The 25,167-nt window shown below is 39.6% G+C and overlaps 1 protein-coding gene across 4 annotated transcripts in view; it reads left to right on the forward strand.

The window, feature by feature from the left end:
* The window catches only part of MID2 (midline 2), a 105,903-nt gene that overhangs the window by 21,690 nt on the left and 59,046 nt on the right, over positions 1 to 25,167 (forward strand). For all 4 annotated transcript variants that reach the window (NM_001382751.1, NM_001382752.1, NM_012216.4 and 1 more), the window contains exon 3: positions 7,185 to 7,280. In NM_001382751.1, coding sequence (NP_001369680.1) covers positions 7,185 to 7,280 — 96 coding nt within the window. The remainder of the gene's footprint in view (positions 1 to 7,184; positions 7,281 to 25,167) is intronic.

Consider the following 25,167-nt stretch of genomic DNA (forward strand, 5'->3'; position numbering starts at 1 on the left):
TTATTGGAGAAGAAGGACCAAACCGGAGAGAGTCCATGCGGAAAGAATTGACAAAACTTGGTGAATGACTATGATGATTATACACCATGAAGAGAATGAATTAAAAAGGACTTTTGAGGTGGAGATGTCTTGAAGGATGGTGGTATTGAGGAGGACAAAAATGAAATTAGGAAGGGGTGGCAGTTTTTTGGGGATGCTTTGACTTTAGATTTGAGTCTGATGTGATTGTGGGTCATTTAACAATCATTCATTCATCAAACATTTCTTGAACATCTATTAGGTGGCAAGCACCCGGATAGGTATTAGGGTTACAGTGATTAAGAAAGCACAGCCTCAACCCTGATGGAGCTCTCAGGTTAGTGTGGGGAGGCAGATAATTAAGGACACAGTTATGAGATGGTGTGGTAAGTGCAATGACAGTGGAAGAACAGGGGCTGTTACAGAACATAGGAGGAATAGCAAGATAGAATTTGGGTGAGTTTTTGAATGCCCTGTTAGGGGACAGGAGTTGAGGCAGGGAAGGGGAGTGCTCTAGTCAGGAGAAAAGAGTTTGTTGAAACATCTGGAGGACAGAGAGCATGGGGGTTTCTCAGAACTGAAAGGGCAAGTGTCCTAGAAAGGGTTAAAATTTAGGCTTTACCAGTGGCTGAAAGATTGGGTCTGGAGAAATAGACTTGGGAGTCCTCAGCGTGGTGGTAGAGCCATGCAGTAGTGAGCTGAGCAAAGGCCAAGGATTGAGCCTTGCAGAACACTCGTGGTCTAGAAATTAGGCATGAAGGAATAGAAGTTGAAAGAGAAAGAGGGGGATGTGTATGAGAGGCAGGAAGTGAAGAGGAATAGTGCAAGTGGAATACAACCCTGAGTCCTCCAGGAAAGTAGAGTTGGCTTTGGCTCACTAGTCTGAGGGTTATCAAAATAAACACTAGATTTAAGTTTTTAGTACAGGTTTACTTTTAGAATGTCCAAATAATAATGTATCCATTTGAGCTAGAGATGTAATCATGCTATGCACCTGAAGATGGGGGAAAGAAAAGAATATGGGAAGGTTTGGGCAGCATTTCTGATAAGGAGAGTGGGGGAGGTGTGGGTCTCAGCTGGATGATCACAGAGCCTTTTGAAAAGATGGCAAGTCTTTCACCTGGCTTGAGGGTCAGGTTATTCTTTAACAAACCTGAAGTAGAGTAGACCTATATGATATACATCCAGTGTATCACCTTCATCTCATTCTGGGACGTAGCCTGTGTCTATACAACAGCAAATAAATGTTTGGGGAAAGAATAAATTCTGGCATAAGGGTGTGGGCTTCAGTTTGTGAACCAGATGGCATGTTCTGTTGTTGAGAGGCCATATGTAATTGATACATAAAGTGACAGACTGAAGCAAAAGCAAAGTAAGTATTTTAAGACAAGCAGTTAAAAAAAGAAAGCAGACTGTGACCCTAAAAGCATGTGAAGATTCTGGCTTCTGGCTTTTGGAAGAGCTGAAAATGTCGGTGCATAGACAGGATGTCAAAAAAGAGCATGTCAAAGAATAGTAATGGGGCCACTGGCTCAGATTATTTTTAAAGATGAAGTTGTCTTCTGTCAATCAGGAAGACTCAGGTTTGGGATGAATTGGCCTTTCTGCCCTATTTCACTTCTCCCCTTCCTATGCTCACCCCAAGGTTCAATTCCCACATAAAAGCAGTCAGGATCTTGTCTAGGTTTAGATAATATTCCCCTTGTACCTTTTAGACAGCAAGAGAGAATACAGACATTCTATGACAGTGCCATGTTTCAGTGGAAATGATATGTTTCAATAGAACTAATACAGATTACACCCCCTTTTAGGCTTCAGTACTTACTGTGTCAGGTTGATGTGTGTAGGAGTGCTCATATATGTGCGAATACATATGCCTTCATGGAGTATGACAAATGGAGATCATGGTCCAGTTTGTGCCATAATGGGGTAATCTACCTCGCTTTAATAAAGAGGTGGTGTCTTGATGTACGCCTAGTTTTCTTGAGAGAGTCAATGAGAAAGTTACCTGAAATAATCTGTGTCTAGAGAAGTGAAAAAAAAAAACCAGCAATTATTTGAGGGTTGAAGAAGCCATTTCTGTTAATGGGATGCTGTCTGGAAGAAGAATAGCCTGTGCCCAGCTTTCTCAGATGGCAAAACATTTTCCTCTTTGGGAAGGGAATAAGAGAGCACAAAGAGGCCTAATCTATACAACACAATAAAACTTGGGTAAAAATGGAATCAGTGTAGACTGCCAATTTAGCTAACTGAGGCCTTTTAAAATCTGTTATGCAAATCAGCCAAATCTTTCCCTTACTTTGTGCTGTTTAGACACATGTACAATTTTGTGTGAGCTAGCATAATGTAGTCATCTGGAGGTGAAGAAGGTATCACAGTTTCATAAACTAAAATGGCTTCTGTAACATCCATAAAAGGGAAGCACACAAAGACCCAGAGGTAACCTCTTGCAGCAGGAAATGGGAGCTTCATCCTGCCCCCTGGCTGCCAACCTCCTGTCCTGTTTCCTACCAGCAGATATCTCCATTCCAATCTCCCCTGCCACTTTGGCTCTCTTGCTGTCACGGTTTAACTGTCCTGAGAAAGTTGCACTAACCGGGCTTGAACATAAGGAACCTGGCCCAGTCATTAACTACATTGCACAGGAGCAGAGCAAAACACACCAATATTTCAAAACTGAACAACAACGAAGAGACATGTTTACTTTTATATAGAGATTTTAGACACACACATCCACACACACACAGACACACACACACACACACACACACACACCCTCTTTGTTTACTCAGCCAGAGTACAGACAAGATAATTACTTGGCCAAATCAATCAAATTATTCAAACCTAGAGTGGCCCAGAATTTTTTGTTCTAAATGACTCGTCAGTGCTAGGCATGATAAGGAAGAGTGACTTCCTTAGATTGCATAATCGCTTCAATTCTCTGTTTCCCTTTGCATATGTTCATTATTGAGAATAAATTCCAATTTGAGAGGAGGCTTTAATTCCTTGTAAATGAATAGGAAATGAGTAAGTAAATGTTCGGTGTTTTCCTCAAATTATGTCTCATATTGTAAGAAAACAGTGGCAAAAAGCCATCAACAGATGGTGTTTTCATTAGCCAAAGATTTATTTTTCAAAGCATTTTCATATTAATGAAGTAAGGTTGAAATTAGAGTCATCTTGTCAGATCTAGCTCTGTGTTGTTAACATGTGCTGGCATTCTGCAAATTGCTAGGGGCAAACTAACCATTTGCCATAATTTTGTGATGGTAACTCAAGGCGCATAGTCTAACTAGACCTCAAATTATGTGTTCAGCCCTAATTTTTGTTTTCAGTGGCTTTATAGAAGCCATGAGTCTCAGTTCTGGGCCACAAAAGAGGAACACATAGCAGAGATTTTGCTATGTCCTGCTCTGTACTGTGAATTATTTATGAGATATCAGTTTTGTGATCAGTGTTGCAACAGGTTGAGGTACTTGTTAAAAACATTATTCTCATGGAATCCCATGTTTGAATGGAAATGCATTACAGTTGGAAACACAAATTTCTAATATTGTATTTGCTTGGCGTTCATCAATCTACATTATATTTGCCTAATATATCAATATATTCGCCTAATATATCAATATATTCATTTGTGATACATGGAATTTCCATTGATAGGAATTTGGGCCACTGCTAGAGAAAATTATCAACTGGATTCACTACCAATTCCCACTGCCTAACTCAAGCTAGACCCTTTCATCACACTACAGAGTTATTATATTCACCTTATGGCCAAATTTTTGAAGAGGAGTCTAGACTTGCAGCCTCTACTTTGTCACTACACCATACTCTAACCTCAGGATTTCACAAATTCTTCCAAAACCCTACTGAAACACCTTTTCAAAAGGTCATCTGTGACCTCTAATTACCAAATCCAGCTGCCTTTTATCAATCCTCATATTTCTTGCATTCTCCGCATATTTGACAGTGACAAATCCTTTCCTGAAACACATTTCTTTCAATTATCCTCAGTTTGGCCCAGACTTGCATTACCCTACGGCCTTGAATAGTGCAGCCTTCTTCTAACCAGTGTCCTTCCCCCATCCCCTGCCCTGGGCTTTCCTATTTCAGTCTGCCCCACATTTTGCTGCTAGGTTAATCTCCTAAATGCAGCCCTGATTATGCCATTACCTTGCTCAACAGCTTTTGGTAAGTCCTCAGTGCAAACAACAACAACAACAACAACAACAACAAAAACAAACAAACAAAGAAACTACAAACTCCTTATCTAGGCACTTAAGACCTTTATAACAGGACTTTGGTCTCCATTTCCAGCTGCGTCCCCCACTACTCTCTTTCTACCCTCTGTTCTAGCCAAAGGAAACTACTAGTCCCTGAATATGCCATATATTTTATTTCTTTATACTTTTTATTTATTTATTTATTTATTTATTTATTTATTTATTTATTTATTATTTTTTTGAGACAGAGTTTCACTCTTTTTGCCCAGGCTGGAGTGCAATAGTACGATCTCGGCTCACTGCAACCTCCGCCTCTGCGGTTCAAGTGATTTTCCTGCCTCAGCCTCCCGAGTAGCTGAGATTACATGTGTCTACCGCCATGCCTGGCTAATTTTATATTTTTAGTAGAGAAGAGGTTTCACCATGTTGGCCAGGCTGGTCTTGAACTCCTGACCTCAGGTGATCCACCCACCTCGGTCTCCCAAAGTGCTGGGATTACAGGTATGAGCCACCCACTGCTCATGGTCTTATTTCTTTGTACTTTTCTCATTACATTCCTTGTGCCCGGAACATCCTGCCCCCATGCATCTCTGTCTATTAAAATTCTGTTTATCCTTCAAGGCCCATCTTAATTTTACTTCCTCTTTATCTGTGAAGTCACTGTACCTTGAACAGAGTAGGTGTTCAATACATTTTTGTATTAAATTTCTGAACTGCCACTTTTTTTATTCCTCTGACATCAATTTAGCTTAGAGATCACGTCCAAATCAATGATTGCTTCCTGTATTCTTCTTCCTTCCCCTTTTCTTTGCCAAGAAGACCACAGATTGAGATGGTAGTGGGATTAAAGGAGGCCAGGGGAGACATTGTGCCCCAATACAAGAAAAATAGAATAAATGGTGAAAAATCACTTCCATGGGAATAAAGCCAAGGAAGCCAAGAGAGACCTGGCAGGAAGGGTAGCAAGGGTTCAGCTGGTCCTCATAATCCAGTTTGAGAAAATGTGAAATCACACTACCCAGCCTGCAAACACGTGTATCTATGTGAATATATCCATCTATTCATGGGAACAGTGCCAAAGATATTAAGGAGCTACAGGTACTTAGCAGACAGAAAGGGGCCAAGTACACAAATCTCTTCTTTTCCTTCATGTTCCCTCTCTCCCCCACATCCCCCCATCCACTTTTTCAAAAGCACGAACTTTGAACTACAAAACATAGGAACAATGGAGATAGCAGCGTAGCACTTAACATGACTGAGGGAAGGACTGCTAGCAGAATGAGGGCCAGTAAGTTGGGGTATTACATTTGGAACAGACTTTATGGGGTATTGGGATAGTGGGTGAGAGAGAAGTAGATATTGGGGTGAGTCTTAGAGGAAAAGCAGCTACCAGGGCTGAAAGACTTGGGAGTGGGGAGAAATAAAAAAGCCCATGATTAATCTAGAGTGAAATGATACTCTTTTTCACATAACGAATGGGAAACAGTAGCTTGCTCAACTGAAAACATGCTAGAATTCCGGCTACTGTTGTAACAACATTATATTCAACAGATCTGCAAAGTACCCCTAATATGTACCTGAAAGAATCTATGTACCAGTAAATGATGATATGCAATGGATATCTTCTCTTTTTAAAATATTTATTTATTGAGATAGGGTCTCACTCTGTCACCCAGGCTGGAGTGCAGTGGTGTGATCCTGGCTCACTGCAACCTCTGCCTCCTGGGGTCAAGTGATCCTCCCACCTCAGCCTCCTGAGTCACTGGAACTATAGGTGCATGCCACCACGCCCAACTAAATTTTGCATTTTTTGTTGAGATGTGGTTTTGTTGTGCTGCCCAAGCTGGTCTTGAACTCCTGGGCTCAAGCGATCTGCCCACCTCAGCCTCCCAAAGTGCTGGGATTACAGGCGTGAACCACCGTGCCTGGCTGATGTCCTCTCTTGATACAGTCAGGCTTTGCATTTTGAAGCCCTGCCTCTCTTGTGGGTGAAGCCTCGGTGCCAAAGAAGGAAAGCTGTGAGATACAATGCTAGATTTTGATGAATTCCACACTCAAAATACTCTTTTTTTCCTGAAGGACCCTACTGATAAATATAAAATATTATAATCAAAAACAAAAAAAGTCATGGAATACTGCAGCAAAACTGTGACTGAGGGCTGGATACATGGGTTCCAGTCCTAGTTTTGCACATGCTAGTAATATGACTGTGCAAAATACTTTAACTCCACTTTGAAGCTTGGTACTCCCATTTGTAAAATACTAGCATCTTCTACTTTGTGAGATTGTTATGGTTTTTAAATAGTATATATGAAATTGCCTGGCATAGTGTCTGGCAATCATTCAATAATTACAGATGGTCCCTGACTTACCATAGTTCAACTTACGATTTTTCAATTTGACAGTGGTGTGAAAGTAATATGCGTTCAGTATGCTTCTTGACTTATGTTAGGGTTACATCTGGATAAGTCCATCATAAGTTGAAAATTTCTTAAGTTGAAAATGCTCTCTCTGGAACATAACTTCATCATAAGTTGAGGGACATGTGTAATAGTTTTCTTAGTCTACTCATCTGGAAAAGAGATAATAATATCTGTTCTTCATATGCTGTGGGATTACTATGAGGGCGAAATGAGATATTGCCTATGAAATACTTTGAAAAGTTAAAGATATTATCTAAAACATAAGGTTTCTTTAATGTCAATAAATTCCTACATCCACAAAGTCATGAATGTCATATTTTCCCCAATAGTGAGCAAATGTGCAGCATTATTAATTTGTACGTAGATTAGTGCTTGGCTCATGGCAGATGCTAAATGAATCTTTGAAACATTTGTCTACTGACTAACCGATTTTCACATGACATTGGTTCTCAAGCTCATGGTTCTTTTTTCCCCTCTTCTCGGTTCCCCTCTGGATTCATACCCTCTGCGATGACAGCAAACTCTGGAGATGAACCTCACCAACCTGGTTAAGCGCAACAGCGAACTAGAAAATCAAATGGCCAAACTAATACAGATCTGCCAGCAGGTTGAGGTATGTAACAGAAACATTTGTGATTTTTCAGAGGACCTGAAATGGGTGACCCTTTGGGAGGACTTCAGTTTTGTCAGAGTGTAGCCTAGTCATTTGGAATGAAGGATTGAATGGCAGTTTTAGAAAGTCTCATTCCTTTAGGATGCTTGTTCCAAAAAAAGTGTCAGAAACCTATGGTTTAAAAAGAATAGACGGTGATGATGGACAGTGGGGGGATAATAGTTCAAGGGGCAACCTATTCTCCTTTCCAAACAGCAGGCAATATGAAAATCAGACATGAAGTGTGCTTCATCCATCATCAAACTGGACATTATCACTCCTTAAAGAGATTACTGGAGTGTCATAGGGAAGTTGGGAATCCTGGGTCCTTGGGGTAAGGTGAGGTTAATTCAGCACAATATTGTTTCTGTAACAATATTATCAGGACTGCTTCTCCTCTTTCGAGCCTCTCCCCCTCTTCATCCCCTGCCCATGGTCCTATCTATACCATGCACCCCACCTGGTCCTCACTCATTACCTTTCCACTTATTCTTGTCATCAACAAATCATATCTATTTTAAAGTTGTAAATTGTAAAGTGCTGTAAAGTGTGAGGTTTTAATCAATTGTCATCTACATCAAATCTTAGAGCAGAGCTTAGAGGAAGAGCTGACCTCTTCTTAAATGGACATAATAAAATAAAGATGTTATTTCTCTTTCTCAAGAGCATGAAACTTATACCATTTGGTTTTGTGTTGATTTTGTTGAAGAGCTGATGGTAGGGCTTCAAGTGTAAACAGGGTTGGGTAAAATATTATAGGATTCTTCATGGGCAGTGGTTGGATAAAAATGTTTCTAATTCTATTTAGAACCTGATAGTCTGGTTCTAATCTTACTTGTATGACAGACAAATGTAACAGTTCAAGTTTATTTTATTTCAATTTTATTAAGATCTCATCTCTTAATCCAATCTATAGATTCCTATTTAAGAGACTGTGGAGAATCTTCTTGTAAGGCAAAGAATCCTCTTATTATATGAGTAACCTTCTGACCCCCAATCATTTGGATTTCTTAAAGTATTGAGTTTCTTCAAGTAGAGTGTACTTGTATGATGAGCATACCATAGAAATTTAATCCCTGCTGGGCACTCCATTTGTGGAAGAGAGTGGTGCTCTACGTAGGGTCCATAGAGTACTGGTCAAACTCAGATATGAGACTATAAAATGAAGTGGGGGATTAGGGAAGAAGCATAAGGAATGAAAAGAAAGAGCACTAGAGTGTGATTTGGAAAACTGTGCTCTAGACTTGGCTCTTCCATGAAGTGGTGGTATGAATCTAAGTCATTTAGCTTCTCAGTTTCAGTGTTCTTACCTATAAAATGAAGAGTTGAACTGATAACATGACCTTCGACTTCTTTCTAGGTATCACAGGTCATGATGCTGTGAATGGTAACTTTCTTTATTCTATTCTTTTTCTCTCCTGGCTTATTCTTTCCAAGAAGGGAGAAACAAAATATAAAGTATTTCAAAGTGGCTTTCAGCTAATCAGAATCCCTCTAATGTTCCACTCTGTCAAAGTTTCTCATTATGCTGTTAGATTACAGTATAAGACATCCACACTGGCAAAGGGACAAGGGAGTATTGTAAGCAGGAGACAAGATAAGAGATCCCTTGATTTAGAATTTGCATGATTGAATATAGAGTAACAGCTAATAGTGAATAAAATGTGGTTAGAAATTATAATCACCTTCCTTGTTCTCATCAAAAAGACTATTAAGTACAGAACAAGTTGTAGTGAAAATAGCAAAGTAAGCAGTTTATTTTTATAGCTCATTCACTTTAGGACCTCTCTAAGGTCTCATCTTGCCACTCTGAAGAGCTTATGACCCTGGCCAGCCTCACCCAAACATAGCCTGTTCCAACCTTTCCCAGCCCATCCTGCCAATCAAACCTTTATGTTCAGGGCCCTACTCTTTTTAAGTGACAAGTCTCATAAAACTATCCATCATTGTGTTAATAGGGAAGGAACCACTTTGGCTTTTTAGGTAACAAGCAGTGTTTTAACAGTTCCGTCCTGAAGTTAGTATTCTTGCCTGAGTCTTAATGAGGTGACACTAGTGCTGCCACATGCAAATAGAGTAAGGGGAAAGAGTAGCCCATACAGTAGATATTCAAGAAGTGTTCTTTTATGGATGCTTGCTAAATCCGATCATGTAAGCCACTGTCGGCTCTGGATACACAAAAGGTCTGCTTTTACTAATCCTTTTTTATGCCTGGCATTGTACCAGGTATAAAGAAAACAGCATAGGCACAGTATCTACCCTCTGAGGGCTTACATGCTGCAAAAATCCACCCTGATGTGGATACACATGTGCAAGAAATACAGACAATTGAATATAAACATTAATTGAGAACTGGGAAAGAATAGTGAGATATTGTTGAGAGTGAGAATGTATTTTGGGATTTAACTTCATAGTCTATTGGGTTTAGGATTCTGTCTTTGATGACAGGGACCCTACAGGATGGCTTATGGAAGGCCATTTCTGTCTTCTATGACATCATCCATTCTGAAAGGTTAGGGATGTGCCCTTAACTTCCTCTTTTTTTTTTTTTTTTTGAGATGGAATCTCGCTCTGTTGCCCAGGCTAGAGTGCAGTGGCACAATCTCGGCTCACTGCAACCTCTGCCTCCTAGGTTCAAGTGATTCTCCCGTCTCAGCCTCCCGACTAGCTGGGATTACAGGCACACGCCACCATGCCCGCCTAATTTCTTGTATTTTAGTAGAGACGCGGTTTCACCGTGTTGCCCAGGCTGGTCTTGAACTCCTGAGCTCAGGCAATCCACCCGCCTTGGCCTCCCAAAGTGCTAGGATTACAGGCGTGAGCCACCGGGCCCGGCCAACTTCCTCTTAATAATAACAACGGTGAATCCAGGTTACTTATTATCCTCATTCAACACAGAGCCTGTCTCTCCAAAAGCCTTCAGGACAAACCTCAGGATTAGAAATCTAGTTAATGGAGGGACTTGAGACTTCATAAATGCTTAAAAATACAGTAGAAAATGAAATGTATAGTAGAATACTGTCAGTCATGAAAGTAAGACACTGATGGGTGATTTGGAATTTTTTCATTATATGTAATCCAGATTCATCTATAGGGAATGACTATATTCACAGTGTATACCAGGCATTTCACATTCGGCGGGGGCGGAGGATACCAGCTAAGGCGCTTCTGAGAAAACTGGAATAGGGTATTTTCCTGTCAAACCTGTTCCCCTTCTTTATTGTCTGTAAATGTTTTTGTCACAAATTGCCTTTTCATAAAAGGGCCATAAATACTGCCTCCCTATCATGGTTCTTTCTCCCTGTTCTCTATTCTCCTCAGAAAGTAAACAAAGCTGCAGTCTTCCTATTATAACAGAAACAGAGATTAAGATCACTACAGATTTGTTAGCTGACTTCTATGGTAATGTAGCTTGTTATAATTGCTGCTGAAGGTTTCAGAATTCAGTAGATGGGTGGTTGGAAAATGTTTTCTGCTGCGGCTGGAGAGCATGGGAAGGAGGTAGAGGCAGCTCCAAGACTCCCTTTAATCTAATTAAGGAAGGGCATGCTTTGACCTTGCTATGATAACCACTTGATCTCTATATATAGTTCTTTGTCCTGGCTCATCAGGCATCCTTTGTTTACATTTCCAAAGGAAACCTCTGTATAATGCATAGCCAAGGGAAAATGTATACCAACAGATGAATACTTCCTCTTCGCTTCCAATACTCCATGGTTCTGTGAATAATAGGCATTCTAAAACATAGCGAGGGGCAAATATAGTTAAATACTTAGTAATCAGTTGGTCAACAGCATTTATTGAGCATACGCTGTGTACTCTGTGGTGGGCGATTTGGGGGCTACAAAAGAAATATATGTGGTTGATGACCTCCAGGAACTTTCAGTCTAGTTAGGGAAAACAGTATATAGTGAGAAAGAGTATTTATAGAGCAGCATGCAGTGCAGAAAATACAAATGAATGTAGTATAGCCCTTTCAATTTTACTTATTTAGTCTTGTTCTTAGCTTTTAGGGCACTGAGTAAATTAAAACACTTTCCTGTATATTTTGTGTGCCACCTTTTTCTTCTTTCCAGAACTGCTGTGATACAATGGCTTAATCCATCCCAGAAGCTCCATGGGCAGGTTGATTTCCTTCTGGCTCTTCTCAATCCTTTTAAAGAGCTGGACGGCACTGCTCTTTAGCATTAGGAGAAAGAAGAAAGAAAGGAGATGAGTTGGAAGAGAGGGAGAGGTTTCCCTTAGTCTGGGGAATTTCAGCTTTCTGTCTTGCTACTAGGTCTTAGCTTCATTCACTTTTGGAAGTCTCTCTCTTTAGAGTTCAAACTTCAGATGGGCTGGTATTTTCTTCTTTCTGCTCGTATTGCCCATTGGAAGGATATTTAGTTTGGGAAGGGCAAGAATCTTGGAGTCTATGTAATAGATGTCTGGCTGCTTCTCCAAGCATAAAATATAAATATTTTAAAATAAATTAATTTAAAAAACACTGCTATGGATGATTTCAGCAGATGATCCTTAAATATTTTTGGGTGGTTGAGCTAGAAGAAAGAATAGAATTTAAACCATTAGAGCACAAATACATTTGTTGGTGGAGCCCTCTTTAAGGAGCAGTCAGTGAAATTAGTATAATTGGAAAATTTAATGGAGAAAATGCATTTTAGCCAAATGTTGAAGGAGAAAAAAAATTACTCCCTCTGGAGAGACAGAAAGCAGAGGTATTAGTGGAGGTGTAAATGAGCACATTTTATGGGGAAAATGGTGCCTTAAGCACTGGGTGTATACAGATAAATAGGAAATGGCACCTGCCCTCAAGGAACACACAGACTGGCTGAGAACCTGACAGGTAAAATGGCAAATAGAATGTGAAGTGATAATTACTGTAATGAATGTAAATGCGTGATGACAAGTTAGCATGGAGGAGGAAACACTCAGGCCTGCCTGAGAAACTTAGGAAAGGCTGCAGAATGGAAAAAAAATGAGTTATCTTGAAATAAGAGTAGAATTTTGCCAATAAAAATGAGATAAGGGAGTGAAGGGGACCACATGTGAGAACACAGAAGGGTGATCAGCATGGAGACGTTCAGGGAACTATCAGAAGTTTGGCTTGGCCAGAATGTAAGACATGAGATTGCAAGAGGTGAGTATGGAGAAGTGAGTAGCTTGGGCCCAAATAATAAAGAGCCTTGTAGGCCATGTATAGGTGTTTAGACTTTAACCTGAGAAGTCTGGGGAGCCATGGAAGGATTTTAAGCAGGTGAATAACTGAATAAAATCTGTATTTAAGAAGGATTGCTATGGCTGTAGTATGGAGTATGGAGCAAAGGTCAAGGGTCCAGGGTAAAAAGTGAGGACAAAGAGACCAGTTAGATTTTTACTGATCCAGGGAGAGATGAAGGCCCAGCTTGAGACAGTGGCAGTAGGATTAGGGAAGAAGGGATACATTCAAAACATTTCTAGGAGGTGGATCAGTATTAATTGGTGATCAGTTAATGGGTGAAGGAGTGAGGGAGAAGAAATACTATGATGATCCACAGGGTTCTGGTTTAGGTGACCAAATAGGTCTATGGCCTTTAACTAGGTTAAGAAATATAAAAGGAGTTCTTTTTAGACCTGCAAGGTTTATTGTTCTCTGGGTCAGAAAGGCAGGTAGGAAATGTCCAGTAGAAAGTTGGCTAGCTGGATTTAGAGGTCAAGAGAGAGGTCTGGGAAAGGGATATACTTGGAAGTCATTAGCATCTAAGTAGCACTTAAAGCCATGGAGAATGTATAGATTGAAAAGAGGGCCTGTGACAAATCTCCAGCCCAATTGTTTGTCACTCACAATACAATAACAAACTGACTTTCCAAAAATAAATAGAAAGACGGTGTTGCTTTTGAGGAGATTACTGAAGAATGCTGTGCATTTTGAAAATTAAATATCAAAGTAAATTATTCATTTGTGGAAAAAAATCAAAGGTTTAGGGTATTATTATCTTAAAGACTACAATAATAAGTAACACTTACTGAGGATTTCCTCTGTTCCAGCTGAGTGCTTAATATGTGTTAACTCATTTAATTCTCACAACAGCTCTGTGAGATAGACACTGTTAATACCCCTACTTTACAGATAAACAGAGACAAAGAAATATTTAAGTGTTTTGCCAAGTTCATGCCACTGGTAGGTAAGAGAGTGGGGATTTGAATACAGGCACTTTAGCTCTGGAGCCTGTGCCCCTGACCACTCCATTACGCGTTGTTTTGCAAGACCAAGGTACACGCCACTTGGATGTCTCTTGTTAATCATGGGTGGTTCCTGGACCCATTGTGAGGATGACTTGTAGTGAGCAAGGGGTATGGGATAGGGATGTGAATTCTGAAGGACAGCAAAGGAGAAACAAAGAGCAGTCAAGAGACGAGGAAAACCAACAAAAACAGAGGATCAAAATCTCAGAGGAAGGAGAGGCCTTCAAAATGTGGAAGATTTGATGAGTCAATTGGAGCAGAAGCATAGAAGATTTCATTAGTCATCTTTGAGGGAGAAGGTTCTACGCAAATATGAAGATGGAACATAAATTCAAAGAGGTCAGGAAGAAAGTAAGTTATAAGGAAATGCAGGGCTGGGCGCGGTGACTCATGCCTGTAATCCCAGCACTTTGGGAGGCTGAGGTGGGTGGATCACCTGGGGTCTGGAGGTCAAGACCAGCCTGGCCAACATGGTGAAACCCCATCTCTACAAAAAATACAAAAATTTGCCAGGTGTGGTGGTAGACACATGTAATCCCAGCTACTCAAGGGGCTGAGGCAGGAGAATTGCTTGAACCCAGGAGGTGGAGGTTGCAGTGAGCCGAGATCGTGCCATTGCCCTCCAGCCTGGACGACAAGAGGGAAACTCTGTCTCAAAACAGACAAACAAACAAACAAAAGGAAATGCAGGTTGCAAGAAGTTTGATCACGAAGGTGAAGCAAGAAATAAGGTGGTAGTTATTATCCTTTCGAAGAGCAGAAAAGTCAGACTCATAAATGCTCTGTTTGTGTATTATTCTGCTACTGGTGAGTTAACAGTAGGAATCACTAGATCCACTGCGTTCATCCACATATGCTTCCCTTCCCTCCCTGACTTGGTGTCCAGCTTTATCTCCAACCCAGGACACTGTAGCCTTAGTTTCTACAACTTGCCTGTCCTAAAAATGGTATGTACGTCCTGGGAGGCAGTGTGCTGTGACAGCTTTGGAGTTGGACAGACAGGAGTCATGTTAGCTGTGCAACCTTGAACACATACTTTTTCTGAGCCTCAGTTTCACCATCTATAAAACTTGGACTAATAATACATTGAAGAGAAAGGCAATACATGTAAAGTACCTGCTACTGTGCCTGGCATATATAGTCAAAGCTCAATAAACGGTGGTGGTGGTAATACTAGTCATAGTAGCAGGAGGAGGAGGAGGAGGGAAAGAAGGAGAAAGAGGAAGAGGAGGTGTAATAGCAGGAACAGTTGCTAGTAGCAGTAGTACTAGTAGTAGTAATTTTGGGCACTACACATTTTGCCAGAGATTCCTAGCCCTGACCTCAGGACTTCCAAAGCTTTTTATCACTATCTCTGAGAGTGGGGAGAACAATCATTCCCAAATACTCATAACCAATTTCAAATTTTACATATATCAACTAAAACTTTTCTTGGGAAGAGGGAGTGGTAATGAAATTGCAGCAGCAAAAATATTGGGTACCTTGGCCATGTGACTCCACCTAGCCCACCAGTAACTCTGCAGATGTGATAGACTAAAAAGGGTTATTGTGCTCAATAAGCTGCTAGTTTGCAGTTACTAATTTAAACAAATTTTATTTAGTAAGGAAACATTTACTGCCCTTCTGCAAGAATATCCAAAAGATTCTTCGTGTTGATACTTAAGTAAATTTGCCCATTATCCTGCCCAAATTCTTCTTGATTACTGCCTTTAAGCAAAGCCAAAAGAAAAGTTTTAGGGAGGGTCACATGCTTTCATCTCTAGTAATTTTAAAAAGAGAGAGTTCTATAATTTTGTATTTGCGATTTAAAATGTTTATTAGCAAAAATGTTCTGTGAATATTTTTGTTAGAGATGGAAGAGCAAGGGGAGCAGACTTAAGAGCTCCTGAGAAAGATTTGAACTGCTAGTGTCTTGTGAAAATGAAATACCTAGTTTGAAACCACTGTGGAATTATAGATGGAGAAAATTGTTTCCATGAAAAATGGAAAATAAGTTCAGTGATCCAGTCAATCTATTCATTTATACTACTGTAGTGACTAATTCAGAGTATTACATTCAATCTTATTAAGAATATAACGATTGACATTTAATATAGATGAAAAACCTAAGTTAACTGTGCAATCCAGTGTGTGGTCATAGCCTATTTTTATACTAGAAAAGAAAGTGCTTTATAATTTTTCAGAGACCTAATGCATTCAATCCTTTTTAAAAAATACTTTGTGACAATTCTTCATTTATGTCAGTAAAGTAACATTTTTGAAGACATTAAATGTTGCAGTTGAAATACTTGGAGGGTATTAACACATGACAGGGTTTAAGGATAAAATTAGTTAGGATTAATATTGTTTTCCTCGCCCTCCTCCCTCACATCTATAGGGCAGGTAAGCTTTCAGGTGTGGTCATGTCTTCATAGCCGAAACAGTTCACATAGGAATGCACTTTCATCCCACTTTTGCACTTTTCCTTTGGCACAGTGAAGCTTATCTTACAGTCCCGTTTCCCATCCCTCCTCTAGTTCTCATTTCTGTGTTCAAATTCCAGGTCACTCACTAAATGACCAGAAGACTTGCTTAATTTTGGCTCCTCTTGTTTGCTCCACTATTTTCACAATCCACCCAAATTCCCCATTTCCAGTGTGCTCTTGGAAAGTTAATGGAATCTTAATAATTCAGCTAAGGCTCTATCAAGCTTATCCTATACCTTGAAATGTTTCTAGTTCCACTTTTACCTCTAATCTCTCCTGCCATCAACCCAACTAAAACTAAACAAATGTTTTAAAAACCCAGACTTGAAACCAAAACAACTATCACCACAGCAGATAGGCACACAGCCATTGAGATGTCCTTACTGTCTCTGCCTGTCTAGAGGAGTCCAGCTCTGTGGTACGGTAAGCAAGGATTGGGAGGAAGAGAATCTTACTTGAATAATTTGTTCTGGGCACTGTGCTAGAGACATCATTTCTAATCTCACTTAGTGTTTATGACAATCCTGTGATACAGCTGGTTAATATTCCCATTTTTCAAGTGAGGAACTTGAAGGCCAGAGATATTAGATGCCTTACTCAAGGTCACACATAAGTAAGCTGGGATGCAGTTCTACATTTCTCTCACTCCAAAGTCTATGTTCTTTCCATTGCATTGTGCAGCCTAGTGGAGAAGTTGTTGGTTTACTTGCCACCGATTCATTTGTGCTCAGATAGGTAGGAGGCAGCTCCAGAAAACCCTTTGTTTTTCTCCACTAAATAGCTCTAGCTCTAGAAAAACATATGGTCTGTTTGGGGGCCTGGCGTTCCTGAATCTGTGGTAAGCCTCTTATGTACTCCTGCCATTGGCCTACCTTTAATAGCCCAGAGCAGCTCTCCATATTCTGACAGCCCTTCATGGGGTACAGAGGAGAGGGAGTTGCCTAGAGTTGGCAGAAGGAAGCAATAATACCCACAATTAGGCATTTACTTGCTCAGATTATTTTTGTGCCATGAGGGGTGGAAATAGTGTGGGCAGCTCCAGGTATCAACACTGTCCTCAGCCATAGAGTTTACGCTGGGACCCATATTTTCTTGCTGAGACTGCCGGGATGGGTCCTCATTCTAGGGCTGTACATGACCATGTTTCAGGGTAAAAGTAGTCTCCATGAGACACAGGGTTTCTTAACAGTTACTAAGAGTTTGACAGTAAAGATGTACTCTCAAAAGTATAATTAATGTTTGCACATTTAAAACAGGATATAAATAACAAATATAATACCACAATGACTGCAAATATATAGATTTCCTCAAAAAAGAGTGAATGCATTGCTATTATTAATGGTGTCTTTTGATGGAATGATTACTTAGAAGTACACATACAGCCAGGAAATCAGCTATTTACTACCTCAAGACAGAAAGAGAATCCAATGCCTCTGTCTATTCTCACTACCTCTCCTCTCACCTAAATCAAATCTTGAATCCAAGTTTACCCTATCTCAGCCAGTCCTAAGAACTCTTAATTATTCCTAAGAGCTTTAAATACATTAGCTCATTTAATCCACACAATAACCCAATGAAGTACATATGATTCTCATTCTCATTTTACAGATGGGGTAACTGAAGCACACAGGGGTAACTTATTTGTATAAAATCACAGGTGGCAAATTAAGAGTTTGCATCCAATTTTACTGAGGTCCTTGCTCTTAATGACTATGCTGTATTAAAAAAGATGGGCAAAACTAACAACCCATGGCTCCATGTGCAGTGTTTTGCAAGTCGCTGATTATTGTGCTTATGGTCTGGGTAAGGACAGAAAACCAGAAAACCAGTATTATGTGAGCGTGTGCCCATGTGGGAATGATGTGGTGTGATACTAGAGCAATATTTGGGCAAGCCTTTCTTTGTGATGATAATCTCTCCAGAGCATGCATCATAATGCCTCTGCACGTGCTATGCATCTGTCTATCTATTTCATAGATGGCTGTGCCTGGCTGTTCATCTCTTATGTGTGTCTGGGGAGGGGGTTGTATGTGTAAAGAGGATATATGTGGAAAAAAGGATATATGCCCAGTGAGAGAATTAGTGTTTAAACTGGGTCATGAGGATTGCTTTGACCTGTTTCCCTCCCCGCCCACCCCAAAGGGTTCTTTTCAGTCCTTTGATGTTTTCCCCATATAAGGGGAGAAACTGGGACACAACTGGAGGATGTTGCCTTTTGTTTTCTTTAATGAGAAACATTGACTCTTTCCTTGAGAGAAGGTTTTCCTCCTCTTCTCCATATCCCAAGCCTGTTCCAGCTTCTCCTTAGTAACATCAAAGGCACAAAACAATCACTGGCTTTGGAATAATTTCTAAACCAATAAAACTCTAGCTAAAAGTGTATAGCACCAGTGCTAGTCGCATAGAACAACATAGTTCCATCCTGAGCTCCCTCATCCCAATCTATATATGGGTAGTTTTGCACTGGCATAGAATGGCAGGTTTACGAATGTCCAAAGATGTCTTATTAGAAAAATCTCAGGTACAGGGGAAAGCCCAGGACACGAGGAGGATTAGAGAAGAGGGTGAGTGACCTAGGCAGGGAAGGATAACAATGCTATGTGAAAAGGAAGGAGAAACAATTACACGATGCCAGTTTACTCTATAGTGCACATATAATGAAACTCCTGCCAAATTTGTGGTGTGTTCTAGCATCTGAAGAGCTTTGAATCTTCTAGCACCCTGGGGATATTCTGGGATTCCAATTGCCACCCACTCAACAGTCAAGAAATTCAAACCATTTCAGGAGGATTCCATTGGCTTTAGAATGAAATGGAATTTATATTATATTGGTAGCTCACAGAGAACACTTACATTTAAGAAGTAAAAATATATCACAGATGAATACGCAAATTGCATATTGTCTGCAGGCCAGAGAGCAAAATTAAACACCTTCATGCTTTCGTACTCCATTTCTGTCAAAAACAGGATATCAGCAGCAAAGCCACTGAAAACACACACACACACACACACACACACACACACACACACACACACACACACACACAACACTGACCTACAGTGAGTACTGCCAAACCCCATGCTAACCCAGTGACACATCATTAGCTCAGAAGTTGAAAGCAAATGGTGTTCCTAAGTGGACCTTTATAAAAAATATTAAGCTCCACTGTGGGTTTAGCATAGTGTTATGTGATACAGAGGAATATAGTAGCAGGTGTATTAAGTCTCTATCCCTGTCTTCAAGGACTTTATAGTCTAGTTGAGAAAGCAGAGCTAACAGTATGAAGCATTGCCAAGCAATATAAAATAATTTAAACTGTGTGACAATAACTGTAAGTGCTGTAGTAGTTCGGGGGAGAGGGAGATGGAAGAAGGCTAACATCATTACCATCATTAACATCTATTGTTTATTAACACTTAATGTGCTCCAGGTGTCATGCCAAGTGCTTTACATGTATTATCTCATTTAATCTTCTCAGTTACCTCTGAGACAGGCACTATTATTATCCCCATTTTTCAGATGAGGAAACTCAGATAGCTAAATGATTTATCCAAGGGGAGTGTAGAAATGAGACTAGAGAGGCATGGAGGGACCTGATTACAGAGGACATTAAAAGCCATGCTAAGAAGTTTGGCATTTATTCTAAGGTCAAAGGGAAGCCAATTGAAATTTAGTATGAAGCCATTTTAAGCACGGGTGTAGTGTTTTTTGTTTTTTGTTTTTGTTTTGTTTTGTTTTGAGACGGAGTCTCCCTTTGTCTCCAGGCTGGAGTTCAGTGGTGAGATCTCGGCTCACTGCAACCTCCACCTCCCAGGTTCAAGAGATTCTCCTGCCTCAGCCTCCCAAGTAGCTGGGATTACAGGCATGTGCCGCCACGCCCAGCTAATTTTTTTTTTTTTTTTTGTATTTTTAGTAGAGACGGGGTTTCACCTTGTTGGCCAGGATGGTCTCGATCTCCTGACCTTGTGATCCGCCCACCTCGGCCTCCCAAAGTGCTGGAGTTACAGGCATGAGCCACCGCGCCCGGCCTGTAGTGTGTTTTTTAAAAAGTTTATACTGCCCCTCTGCTGGGTTAAGTACACATTGGGAAAATAAATGATTGGAGACAGAGGGGCCAATTAGGAGACTGTAGTAGCATTGTGCTTGGCACATAGTAGGCACTCAATGTATATTTGTTGGATGGATATATGAATTCAGGGAAGAGATTTTGGTGGACAGATCTAGTGAAATATAAGGGAAGATGATAGAAAAGGATAGATTTGAATTATATTTATGAGGTAAATATAGGGGATGTGATGATTAACTGGATGTGGGGAATAAGAAAGAGAAGTTAAGAATGAAGCCCTGGGTTTCTGAGGAGCTGGTGATACCCTTCATTCATTTAGGGAACATTAGAGAAGAATCAGATTTAATGGAACAGGATGTAGGAAAGAGACGAGTTCAGTTTGGAAACACTGAGTTTGTAGTGCCTGTAGTTATGCAAATGAAATGTCCAGTAAGCAGTTAGTTATATAGGTCTAAATTTCAGGAGAGAGACTTAGGATAGACATAAATATAATTAAGGCAAATGGAGATCTTTTTGAGGTGATGGAATTGTTCTAAAATTGGATTGTGGTAATGGTTACAAAATTCTGTAAATTTACTAAAATTATTGAGTTACCCACTTAAAATGGGTGAATTTTGTGGCATATACATTATATATCAATAAAGCTCTTAAAATTAAAAAAGTTAAGCAAGGTACTGGCATGTAGAGAGTAACTGAAGCCTTAGAAATGGATGAGGTCACCTAAGTCAGTGTGCTAGAACTCTCAGAATGCTGACATTTAAGGGACAGACAAAGGAGTTGGAATGATCAGCAGGAAAACTAGGAAAATTTGTCTCATGGAAGCTGAAAGAAGAAAGTATTTTCAGAAGAAGTGAATAGATGATCTTTTAAATAATGATTTGAAAGACTTAAATATCTTGAAATGTCAATGGGAAGGAGTGGAACCAGAAGAGAGGTTGGCTGAAGGAAAGGGAAGAAGATTAATCAAATGAGGACCCCAAGAAGCTAGAAGAGGATGGAATGCAAAGCCTCTAGGAGAGGACTGATGAACTTTCTAGAGAGATATATCACTTCTTTGTAATAGGAGAAAGGAAAGATGATTGTTTCCTTATTGTTTTGTGAGAATTTAAAATAATTCCCTGGGATAAATTTTATTTTCTCTGTGACAAAGGAAGTAAAATCATTTACTACGATTTTACTATGAGTGAGAAGGGAGGTAGTAGGGTTGAAGCTTTGTGGATGGTAGAGATCGCTGCTGTGGAGATATAGAGAGAGCTGTTAAGAGAAACACAGAATTAATAAGAAACTTTGAGAGCCTGCTTGAAGTTGGACACCACAAATTTAAGGGGGATCAATCTATGCTTCCATGATTAGCATATAGGTCACACTTAAAACCATGAAAATGAATGAATTTGGCCAGGAAAAGTTGATTAGGTGAGGAAAAGGACATAGATATAGATTAGATAGAGATAATATATATTATTAACTTTTTACCTGTCACGTGTTGTGATATTTTCCCCCCAGTTTGTCTTTTGTCTTTATTTTCTGTATGGCTTCTGGTTTTTCTGGCTTGTGAAAGGTCTCCCCCTCCTCAAACTTTCTTTTCATATTTTCGGTGGTTTTATTTTTTATATTTTAAGTCTTTAATGTACCTGGAATTTGTTTTAGAATATGAGATTTTGAAATGTATTTTAGGGCATGTAGTTGTGTTTCCTTTCAGATAGATAACTATTATGCTAAGCCCATTTATTAAAAGAACAGTCCTTTTCCTGTTGAGTGGATATGCTACCATTGCCATATATTGGATTTCCATATGTACTTGCTTCTATTCTAGACTCTATTCTGTTCCATTGATTTAATTTTCCATTCTTACGCCAATACCTTACTATTTTGATTATACTGACTTTTTGGTAATATCTGATATTTCCTTACTATTCTTAGATATTTGTTTCTCCATATTTTTACATATTTGTGTCTCCATATGAACTTTTAAATAATTTTGTATAGTTACAAAATATACTCAGTTTGGATTGTGATTATCACTATATTACAGTTGTGTATTAGTTTTTAGAAGAAAGACATTCCTATGATATGTCTTCCTATCCAGAATCACGGTATATCTTTGCATTTTTTCAGGTTTTATTTTTGGGACCGTCTCTTTAATATTTAGTTGTTTTCTTCAAATAGGTACAGTACATTTTTTTGTTGTTGTTGATTCCTAAGTACTTTGTACTCTTGTCCGTGCTGTGAATGGGTTACTTTTCTATTTCCATTTTTAAAAGCATATGGAGAAAAGCTTTTGATTTTATATATTTTCTTGTGTATTACAATCTTACCATATTGGCAACCTTATATTTAAAAAAAAAACCTAGAGTCTCGGGTTTATCTGAGGCACTTATATCTCCTTTACCAATATTTATACCAATTATTTCATGTTCTAACTTTCTTTTGCCTCAGCTAAAACATTTAAAACACTATGGTGATATCAGACATCCTTGCCTTGTTCATAATGTTACTGGAAAGGGCCTTAGCATTTCACCATTTAGTATGAAGTTTGCTATTTATTATATTTGAATGCTGTTTTATTTAGAATTTTCACTTGGACTGGCTACTGATTTTGTTTAAAAACCTTTTAGAATATATTAATATAACCCTATATGTTGATTTTTTCTAATCTTGAATCATTCTTTTATATTTGGAATAAAAAGTGTTTGGTTATGGTATTTTATTCTTTTGTTGCCCTGCTGCTTTTGTTAAACATTTTTCTCTATATATTCAGAACTGAAATCAATCTATAGCCTTACTATTTCTGATATCATTTTTAGGTTTCTGATATTGTGGAATTATACTAGATCTAGTAAATGCATTTGAGACCTTTTTGTCTTTCTCTGTGGTCTTAAATAGTTTAAGTTGTGTGAGAATGATTTGTTCTTTCAAAGTTTATGGAACTCAGCTCTAAAACCATCTAGGCCTGGAGCCTTAAAAAAATTACAGATTGTTAATCACCCTTCCAATCTGGTCTAAAGTTATTAGATTCTTGAGGTTTTGTTACTCCTTCTTGGGTAAAAGCATTTAATAGATTTTAAAATCATGTGGTATACATTGCATATGATAGTCCCTTATAATTAATATCTCTCCAATGGTGTGCTGGTGCTGACTTTCCAATTGTGTGCATTTTTCCCATATTTTGGTTTGGTGTCTATACATTGGTAGCTTAAAATCCACTAAAGTGTAAGTTTTCACGCCATGGAAATCAGCAAGCACTACAAATTGCGGCTTTTTTTTTTTTTTTTTTGAGAGCCAATTGTTAAATGGTTATCAGCATACTATTGTCTATATCTATAAGTGTATCTCCTTTTCCATTGTTAGTATTGTATTTTTGTTTTATTTTCTCCCTTTTTCCTTAATAAGTAATTTCAAAGAAGCAGCTTTTGATGTTAATTATCTGTTAATTATCCCTTGTAAGTTAGTTTCATTTTGATTTTATTAGTTTGAGCTTTTTAAAAGTGAATTTCCTCCTTCTATTTACTTTCATTTTTTTGTCCTTTTCCAGTTTCTTAAATTGAGTGAATTCCTGTATTTTCCATTTTTATATATTTTCCTGAGTAGAGGTTTAACTGTATCCCGTATATTTTGGTATTTAGTGTGTGCTCTTTCATTATTTTCTATAAAATTAACAACTTTAGTTTCATTTTCCTCTTTGATTACAAGGTTATTTAGGAGTATTCAAGCAGAAAATTTCCCTGACCCCTTTGCTGGCAGGAACTGGAGTGCACGGGTGCTAGAACTAGTCAGCCACTTCAGTGCCAGCAGGGGCAGACTCCACTTGCTTGGCCCCACCGTGTTCCACGCCTTGCAGGAGGGGGAGCGCAGGTGAGCAGGTGAAGGAGCTGGGGCAAGCGCTTTTGGGTGCTGGCAGGAGCGAAACTGTGCTTCCCCACAGCAGCATCTAGGGGGGTGTCCATATCTCCTGAAGCTCCAGAAAGAGTGTTACAGTCAGTGCTCTTTTAGCTTTGCTGTCCATGAATGGCTTAAGTGTTAACAGCTCAGTGGAGGGTCAGTGTGACGGCCTTTTGCACTTGCACTTGAGTTCTTGTTCAACATCCAAGAGGAATGAGGTCGCATGAACAAATTGGAGATGGTCAATGTGGGGGATTTTATTGCCAATGAAAGTGGCTCTCAGCAGGAAGGGGAGCTGGAAAGGGGACAGAGCAGGATGATCATTTTCCCCCAGAGTCTAGCTGTCCCCAGCTGGACTCCTCTTCGAAGCAACACCGTAAAGCCGTCCCTCTGAAGTCAAGCTGCTTCTTTCCAACTTCCAACCATAGTCCCCAATGTCCAGCTGCTTCTCCTCTTCTCTCTGCTGGTGAACCCTGGGGTTTTTATGGGCACAGGATGGGGAGCAGGGTGGGGTATGGGTGGTTTTGGAAAAGGCAGCTTTCAAGCGGGAAAATAGGAATGCGTGTTCTCACTTTGGGACACGGTTCCAGGCTTGAGGGCAAGACCTTTGCCAGAGACCTATCCTCTTCTGCCCAGAATTTCCCTGCCTCCTGCCCCTGTCATTTCCCTCCTCTGAAGAGGCTCATCTAACTGCTGGTGTAATATGGACGATGACTGGTCTTAGCTACTTCCTGTTTACAGGGGGTGTGAGTATGGGAAGAACAGCAGTCAGATTCCTCCCCAAGGTCTACCTAAGGGTCCCCAGCAAAAGGGAGCCATTGTCTGAGGTTCTGGTTGCCTGACTGTTTGGAGTTTGATGGCCTCTAGGTGCAAAGAAACAAGTTTTACAGGGTTAAGTATGCATGGACCAAATATATGTCCAAAGAGGAGTTAAAAGGAGAGAATCTAATGCTGAAGATTACAGAAATAAGAAGTGAAATATACTAATCATTCTGAAATCAACATTATACCCCATGGTATAGCACAGAATGGAGGTAAAAACAACAAGCCTAGGCAAGACTATAAAGAGGATATCCATGGAAGGTTAATTATTAACACTTATCTTTTGTGATTTTTAGCTTGAGTTCCCCAATCTCTTCACATAGGTACTTTGGGTGCTCTTCTGGGTTGATGCAGGTAACTCTGTCAGCTTCCCAGGCCTTTACTCGGGTATAG

Source organism: Homo sapiens, chromosome X (genome assembly GCF_000001405.40).
Source record: "Homo sapiens chromosome X, GRCh38.p14 Primary Assembly".
Taxonomy (NCBI): Eukaryota; Metazoa; Chordata; class Mammalia; order Primates; family Hominidae; genus Homo; species Homo sapiens.